This window comes from Homo sapiens, chromosome 11 (genome assembly GCF_000001405.40).
Source record: "Homo sapiens chromosome 11, GRCh38.p14 Primary Assembly".
Classification (NCBI taxonomy): Eukaryota; Metazoa; Chordata; class Mammalia; order Primates; family Hominidae; genus Homo; species Homo sapiens.
This window is the reverse complement of record NC_000011.10, coordinates 127,782,068-127,791,201: the sequence shown is the minus strand read 5'-3', so window position 1 is coordinate 127,791,201 and position 9,134 is coordinate 127,782,068. Positions and strand designations below refer to the sequence as shown.

General features: G+C 39.2%; 1 annotated feature.

Moving 5' to 3' along the window:
* Positions 8,101–8,786: an enhancer, noted in NCBI's record as "NANOG-H3K27ac-H3K4me1 hESC enhancer chr11:127652311-127652996 (GRCh37/hg19 assembly coordinates)". NCBI's record gives its function as "activates a minimal SCP1, AML or CMV promoter by ChIP-STARR-seq in naive H9 embryonic stem cells {active_cell/tissue: H9 hESC(naive)}" and the evidence as "EXISTENCE:reporter gene assay evidence [ECO:0000049][PMID:30033119]".

Below are 9,134 nucleotides of genomic sequence, written 5' to 3'. Positions count from 1 at the left end.
CATATACCTGAGCATTTACATATTGTAATACTTATTGTTTTAGTATAAAAAATATTTAATTTTTAACTTTATAGTATAGCTAGTACATTATTATAAATTAATTTTCTTTTATTTCTATTTTATGTTATTTTCAAGACTTTCAGGTATTATAATTTTTCTTTACCACTGCTGTTTTCTGGAAAGTCTTTTCTCTCTGTCTACGCTGATATTATGGTAAAGCCTGCATATGTGCATGGGAATAGATACACTTCAAAATTGTTAAGGGGTCCTACAAAATGTCTATAATAAAAAAGAGACATTGGGTTTGACAGGGTTGAAATCCTTGCCTACCCTGAGCTCCCAGAGCCGCATATTCCAAATCCTCAGCTTACTTCAGGAAAAGCCTCCAGCCCTGCTCCCGGGAAACTCTCAAGGGACAGGGACAGATGATGAATGAGACACACAATTAATGAACCACACAATGGGCATTATCCGAACCATAAGGCTGGCTGGCCTTATGGGTTTCTTTGCTTTTGCTCCATCGATTTCAGCTTTAAGTAAGTTTTAAAATGGCAAAATTAGCATTTCCACTACCTGTCTTCAAAAACATAAATAATGAAGTTTGCCTTTATCCTGTTCTCTGAGTTGAGCACAGTGCCTTTTTTAGTTCTTTTCTTCAACACCTCACCACATTCTCAAGCCAGCCCTACTCTGGAATAGCATTGATGGTTATTACTTTCCTTTGTCACCAATTATAATTCACCAGCAGATATTACAGGCCTCCTCGTTTGTTTAATCTGGCACTGCTAATTTGATAACATGTTCTCCAGGCTTCACCTCTTCTTACAGTGTTATATTTGGGTATTATATTCCTCCTACTTATGTGCTGAATGTTCTTTCCCTGACAAACAATTCATAGTGAAAGATTTGAAGTATATTCGGAACGTACTTGCTTAAGCAAGGCTTAGAAAGCTCTCAAATCCTTTTTAGTCATTTGAGGTAACATTGCTCGTTTAGAAAATCTGAGGCTCAAGAAAGAGGGTCAACCCAGGGCCAGGAAGATTTGAAAGGAAATGAAACAAGCATATAGACCATTCACACCGAGGCAACAGAAACATGAAGGCTTAACCACCAGGTGGCCGCGGGCACAGGAGAGCATATTCAAAATGAATGGCCATAGGAGACCCAGTCAACTCAGATCCCAGAGCTCAGCATAGACTCTCTACCTATAATCGGTTAAAGGTTTTGAAACACTTATTTTGAGGCTTAAAATATAAATTTAGAAATCTAGCCATCCAATTCACCAGCATAAGAAAGAAATCTTTTAGAAGTCAAAAAAATACAAAGCACAAGCATGCATGCATTGTGTGTGTGTGTGTGCGCCTGTGCATGTTGGTGTTACAGGGATTACAAGAATTGTGCTTTCTATTATGTCAAACTGATAACATATTCTTTTTCTTTACTTTTTTTTTTTTTTTTTTTTTTTCGGGATGGAGTCTCGCTCTGTCACCTAGGCTGGACTGTAGCAGTGCAATCTCGTCTCACTGCAAACTCCGCCTCCCAGATTCAACCGATTCTCCTGCCTCAGCCTCCTGAGTAGCTAGGATTACAGTGAATGCCACCACACCCAGCTAATTTTGTATTTTCAGTAGAGACGAGGTTTCACCGTGTTGGCCAGGCTAGTCTCAAACTCCTGACCTCAAGTGATCCACTTGCCTCGGCCTTCCAAAGTGCTGGGATTACAGGCGTGAGCCACCATGCCCGGCCCTGACAACATGTTTTATTATTTTTTTCAAATCATTGCTTCTGTGCAGGACTTGATAGGCTATTATGTCTTGCATCAGGACCTTTGCATGTGCTATTTATTCTATCTGGAAATAAGTGACACTCATTATTAAAATGGATAATTCCTACTCATTATTCTGGTCTTAACTAACCATAAATTTCTCAGAAAGACCTTTTCAATATCCCAAATCTAAAACATAGTGCCCATTACATGCTAATTTTTATTTTCCTTTAGCATTCTTATAGCAATGTTTGATGCTTTATGTATTTCATCATTTGTTAAATGTCAATTTCTCCTACAAAGCTCTATATTTCATTAGGGGCAGGGATCTTTTCTGCTTAATTTTCCTACCTCCCCGTTACCTAGTAATATCTAGAAAAGAGTTATTGTGAATAGATAAATGTAGGATGTCTAGAGAAATTAGAAATGAAAAATTGGGAATACATATAAAGTTATATTTTAGAGATAATTCTTTAAATTCACAAATTTCCTCTTTGCAAACGTATTCCTGAATACATTCAAGTTTAAATACAATAAAAGAGTGATAATGTGATGTTATAGTTAGTCTTTTGTTTCTTTGCTTTACCTCAGCTGTGGACATTAGTTCCTTTGTTTTGTAACCTAGCAGACCAATCGTATTTCTTATTAGCAACTTTCTAAACAGTGATATACACTTGGGTAGGGTGAGGACAGAATTAACTACCAAAGTAGAATTATAGAGAAATTTTGATAAATTCCAGCAACTCTTATTCTAGATAACATGAAACATTTAATGAACAAACGACTCACATTAAATATCTTAATATTTATACATGTAAGAAACCATCTTTGTCAACAAGTCTTAACTGATATTGAGATAGTTATTTTCCTTGGAATGGCTTTTTAGTTGTTAAGTGAAGAAAACTGTAAGAAAGAAATCGTCTCCCAGAAACTCATTACTATATGTGGACCTTAACTAACATGGATTCAATTTACATTTCCATTACTTCTTTGCCTGGGACTGTGCATCAACTTTCAGTTCTTCAGTTCTTGAAATGGTGAAACTAGGAGAATGTTGAGTTAATGCAAACCTTCTCCACTTCATAACACAAGCTGCTCAGACTGCTAGAGAGAAATATCATACATCTGGGTAATTGTCAACACAACACAACTACATCAGCTCGCAGTCCATCTCTTAAGATGCCCCCTAATTATCCTCTCATCCCTATAGCAGCTTTTCCAAGCCTTCACCACTCTCCCTAATCACACAGTATTGATCAGGGTTCTTTGTTGAGGAAAACAGAAAACACTACCTGATTGTAGTAGACAAGTCTTTGTTAAGTCTAGAAATAGTTTATGGAATTGTTAGGAGGGCTGAAGAACAGATTTTAGGCTAAGGTTCTAGAAATAACTCCCAGAGCCACACCATTGACCTAGTCCACCAAAGGAGTCCACAAAACAAAGGAGCTTTGCCTCTTCCATGCCCAGGGAGCTTTCACATCAGAAATACACAACCTCAGCTGTGCTGCTGTCTTCTGTGTGGGCAAGACATATTCTTCGTGTTCTGCCTCCTTCTCCTCAGAACTCTGCTCTGAATCAGCTTTTCACAGTATATCAAATTGAAGAAAGTAAAATACATGTCTAGTCTTTAACAATAAGGGAAACTAGGAGATATAGCTTTGGGGGAGAATTCCACATTGGTAAAACAGGATTTGCACTATGAAAAGCTATCAAAATGTGACAAGGACATTCAATATGCCATCATTACTGCCCACTTCACAAATGTCCTCTTAATTGCTGAGAGGAAATCACACTTCCCAGAGTCCCCTTTCCCATAGCCACTCGGTATCTGCCAATGAGAGATATTCAGGTGGGATTTTCCAGGTGGAGGGGGAGAAAAAGCCATTTTTCTCTGGAGGCAACAGTAGCCAGATGTGTAGGTGGTAGCCAGATGTGTAGGTAGATAGAGTTTGTGGCAGTTTAAGAACCACTCACCTGCTTATGCAGACCAAGATACTTAGTCAGATCTTTCTAAAGGCTTTTGAGATTTCTCACAGTTTTCATAAGAATCTTTTAGGAGTCTCTTGTTTATAATTGAAGGCTGAGATTTTTAATGTTGGCCACTTGACCTTCGTTCTCTCAGCATATGTAATATTTGTAGAAACCACCAGTTCCCTGAAGTAAAATCCCTCATTCTTGCATTTGAATAAAGATGCCTTCTGTTTTCCTGACTAAACTTGATACATTCACATTCCACCATTTTCCCCCATAATTTCAACAATGCACAACAAATAATCTCACTTCCCACTTTTTAGAAAAGAAAACAGAAGTATATGGAAAAAAAAATACTGACTTCCTATTCATTATCATATCTGCATTTCTATGCCATGATAGTTCTTTTCATTCTATCTCAAAAGATGAACTGTTTATTTCCTTACTGAAGGTTAATTCTTCAATTATTCTGTAATTTTTCAGTCTCTCTGTCCTCTGTATCTTTATCATTTGTCCTTCTGCTTGGAATGTTCTATGTCTCCTTCTTTAGTGCTTTTTTATCATACGATTATGTAAAATTATCTCCCACATTAAATCCAAATGGACAGGAAAGACATCTCACTCACCAGGATGGTTAAATCATGCTTTGGAAACGGCTTAAAAATATTAGTGTTGTAAAACAAACTAGCTTTACTTCCTCCTCATGTGGGCTATGTGTCTATTGTCAGTGGTCACAGAGCTTTGCTCATTCTGGTCCTTCAGAGACTTAGGATGACCAAGGCTCCACCATGTTAACACAATGCTTCGGGGTTCAGTGCTCAGACAAACAGAATATGGAGAAGTAACATATGTCACTTCGTTTTTAAATTTATGACTACGGAAGTCATATGGCTATGTCTAAACTTAGGGATCGAACAGGACAATGTAGTTGTGGGCCCAGAATAAATCAGGTTCTCAAAATGTTAATGAGCACTATGAAACGCTACCACAAACACATATGCCCTTGCTCAACAGACATAGGTCTCTCCTACAGTTCAGCCAAACTTCTGCCATTGGTGGTCTGCATTTTACCACCTGCATTTCCTTTTATCCCATTTCCTTTCCAGTAAACTACTGACTACTTTTTTTTTCCTAGAAACAGAATTGGCAATCATTTCCTTTGAGGATTGTTAAATTATCCAATGATGCTTTTGAGAAACCTGATGCAGTTCTAATTTTTTATCTGTCGTATATGGGTTTTTATTGTCCTGTTCAATGTTTAAGTTATTGTCTTTATTCCTAGGGTTCTAAAATTTTGTGATATGAATTTTTCTTTGTTTCTGATGTGGGTCTTTCTTATTTGCTGTGTGGAGTATTTGCTTCTTCAAGTTGGGTTTTCACAAATTATTTAATAATTTTCTTCTCTCCATGTTCTCAGTTCTCTGATTTTCTGGAATTCCTATTAGTCTTAGACTGATGTTTTCATACTTTTTTCCCTTTTATATCTTCAATTCTCCTTTTCTGAGACGGTTACTTTTATCTTTTAACACTTCTGTGATGATTTAATGTCTTTCATAATATTCTCCATTTCCAAGATTATTTATTCCATTCATGCTCTTTTTAGAGCATTTGTTATGATTTCATGGATACATGTCTTCTTTTACTTTTCTGAGTAGATCCATGGGTGCATTAATGATTCTAGTGAAATTTTCTTTTGTTCTTTACACACTCTCTTTCCTCGCATTTTCTTTTTCTATTCATTTCCTTTGATTTTTGACCATTGTATTAGAAGCTTTCTTTAAAATATCATTTTAATCTTGGTTGTCAGTTCACTTAAGAGATAAATGTTAAAATGCCTTTAGGAAGCTTTGTGTGCTGAGGCAGCTCTTGATAAGACGTAGACTTCATTGTGGGGATGTGTGAACAGGAACCTTAGAATTTTGTTAGGAAAGCCCCTTACTCTAAGTAACTATTTGCCTTTTCTCTTCCCATCATCATTTTACCCAGAAGGAAGTACCTAGATACCATGACTTGCTGGTACAAGTCTATCTGTCAGTGTTCTAGGAGTCTATTTGAGTTATCTATTGCTGCATAACAAATTAGCCCAAAACAGTGGGTTCAAATAACATTTGTTATCTCACAGTTTCTGTGACCAAGAATTTGGATATACCTTAGCTGGGACTTCTGGCTCTGAATCTTTCATAAGTAGGATGAATAATCATCCCAGTTTTCCCAGGACTCTACCAATTTTAGCCTCAGAAGTCCTAGGTCCTGCAAAATCCCTCAATCTGGGGCAAACCAGGACACACAGTCGCCCTACAAGGCTGCGGTTATCATAGAGCTCTGTTAAGGGTCTCTTCCTATGTCACTTATATAGTGGTGGGCAGGATACAGGTCCATGCAGGCAAGTGGACAAATGTCTTCCTTATTTTCTTTCTCTGAGGACCTCTTCATAGAGCTTGTTTTGTCAGACCCAGTAAACAAGAAGTCAAAAGAAATATCAGCAAGAGTGCTAGCAAGACAGACATCATAGCCTTGTCAATCATTGGGGTGACATCCTATCTCTTTACCATATTCCATTAAGGAGAAAACAAGTCACCAGGTTCAGGCCACACTCAAGGGTGGGAATTCCAAAAGGATGCAAGCACTCGGAAGTGGGGAATAGTGAGTGTGTGTTGGAAGCTGCCCAGCACAGAGTCCAAGAAGGGAATGGGATGGATGGGGAGGGGATTTAAGGCAGATTGGGATTGAGCTCACATCATTTCAAAATTGCCCCTCACTATGTGCAGCATCCCCAAAACAACAATTCCGCTCCTCCAGAGAGTTAATTGCCTATATTCTATGGAGGTCAGGAAGATGGTGTTATCCTTTGTGTGGGGTGGTGGATGAGAAGTATTTAATGAAATGCATCTTATGAAGATTTTCAACCAATCCTCCTATTCATAGTCCCACCAGAGGCCCTGTCGTCTGATGTGCCACATCCTTCAACTCTTGAGCCTTTCCAGTGTTTGGAAACACAAACTGGTCTACTTATTACCATCACCTAACTTCCTTCCCCTGTAACCACTGAGCTTTTGGCTTTCCCCTCTAAGCTTAGTCATTTTTCACTGATAAAACTGTTCTCTGCCTGCTTACATGTAACCCCTTTTCTTGCTAACATTTCCTATATTGTTAACTCTTCTAACTTTTTACTTTTTATACTCTTTTAATTTCAAAATAGTGATGTTTCAAAGGGAGGTAGGATAAACAAATGTATTCAACCCACCAGGTTAAATAAGAATCCTATTATTTCATTAAAATCTATAATCCACTCTCTTTTCAACTCTCACTGTCATAGTTTTATTTATGCATCTCCAGTGCCTGGTCTAGTCACTAACACAGAGTAGGTACTTTAAGAATTAGATGAAACCAAAGTAATGTGACTCGCTTGGGCATGATGTGACCTAGAATAATTGAGAAGAAATCTTGACATAAAAAGACACAAGCAAGGAAACCAAAATATGTCATCTACTTATTGTTCTCAAGTGTTAAGAAGAAAAATAAACAGAACATGGGGAAACTTGCTTAACACTAGACCCATGAAGCCAGGGATTTTTGTTTTATTCACAGTTGTATCCCCAGTATCTAGTACACTGACTGTCGTATAGTAGATGCTGAATGCTGAATAAATGTTTGCTTCCTGCATGGATATAGTAGTGACAGTAAGTATACTGTAAAATCAAAACACTTGGATGTGAGGTGACAACAGCTGATTACTTCAAGCAAGGTTGACACCCCACTGAGATCCATGTCTTTAGCTCTAAAACTAGACAATAATGTTTACCCAATAGATATTGCTTTGACATTCTGGGACAATGTATGCCATTGCACCTGGTCAAATTCTCCCATCTAGTATTTTCTTAAAATATATATTTGTTTTTCTATTCCAGTGAACAAACATCACATTCAGAAAAAAAGTATTACCATTTCATAGTCTGTTACTAAATAAATCGTCCAGATCCCTCAGATTATGTGTTATTTTAAAGTCAGATATGGATAGCACACCTTTTCTTTCTCTAAGGATCGTACATGTATGTGTATAAGGAGAGAGAGTCAGCATTTGGAAGGAGTTTGGTGGTTATCCTGACCTGCCATGTGGTAGTGAGTGAGTCTCTCATGCTGGCTAAGGTACTGTGGAGAAATTTATCCTTTCCCAGTAAAAAAATGTGATTTTTTTTCCCTGTTATCAGGGCCAACTGTCTCTTCTTATTCATTTAAGAGACTTGATATTCCCTTTACCTAAGACTCTGATGCAGGTCCCCCCCTCCCCACCCTCCCCACTGCATCCATACTGACCACTTGCTGACCTTAGCAGTATAAGTCAAAGTTGGACCTAATAAAAGCTGGCAGATACCTAAACTCTTAATTGAATCACTAGGTCTTTATTGACTTTTCCCTCCTCATCCCTCCTCCTTTATTCTTTCTATCCCTCTTATTTTAGAAAGAGGTTTTTCATTACTGAATAGAAAATATTTAGGTGTCTGACATCTCCAGAGTGGTAGTGATTGCATTGTGCATTAACTTGAAAGTTCATCCCCAGCTTAATAGGCCTAAAGAGGAATGGATGCACATTGGCTAAACCAAGAGATGGGATTGCTACCTAAATAACTAATTCATCTTCACAGCAGATGGATGTCAAGGATATTTGAGAGAAGATACACCCAAGGTCATGCCAATTAGTTGTGGAGTGAAGCCTGACTAGAAGTTAATTTAAGATATAAACAGCCTCGGGAGGAACCAAGATGGCCGAATAGGAACAGCTCCAGTCTACAGCTCCCAGCGTGAGCGACGCAGAAGACGGGTGATTTCTGCATTTCCATCTGAGGTACCGGGTGCATCTCACTAGGAAGTGCCAGACAGTGGGCGCAGGCCAGTGGGTGTGTGCACCGTGCGCAAGCCGAAGCAGGGCGAGGCATTGCCTCACCTGGGAAGCGCAAGGGGTCAGGGGGTTCCCTTTCCGAGTCAAAGAAAGGGGTGACGGACGCACCTGGAAAATCGGGTCACTCCCACCCGAATATTGCGCTTTTCAGACCGGCTTAAGAAACGGCACACCACGAGACTATATCCCACACCTGGCTCGGAGGTTCCTACGCCCACGGAATCTCGCTGATTGCTAGCACAGCAGTCTGAGATCAAACTGCAAGGCGGCAGCGAGGCTGGGGGAGGGGCGCCTGCCATTGCCCAGGCTTGCTTAGGTAAACAAAGCAGCCGGGAAGCTCGAACTGGGTGGAGCCCACCACAGCTCAAGGAGGCCTGCCTGCCTCTGTAGGCTCCACCTCTGGGGGCAGGGCACAGACAAACAAAAAGACAGCAGTAACCTCTGCAGACTTAAATGTCCCTGTCTGACAGCTTTGAAGAGAGCAGTGGTTCTCCCAGCACG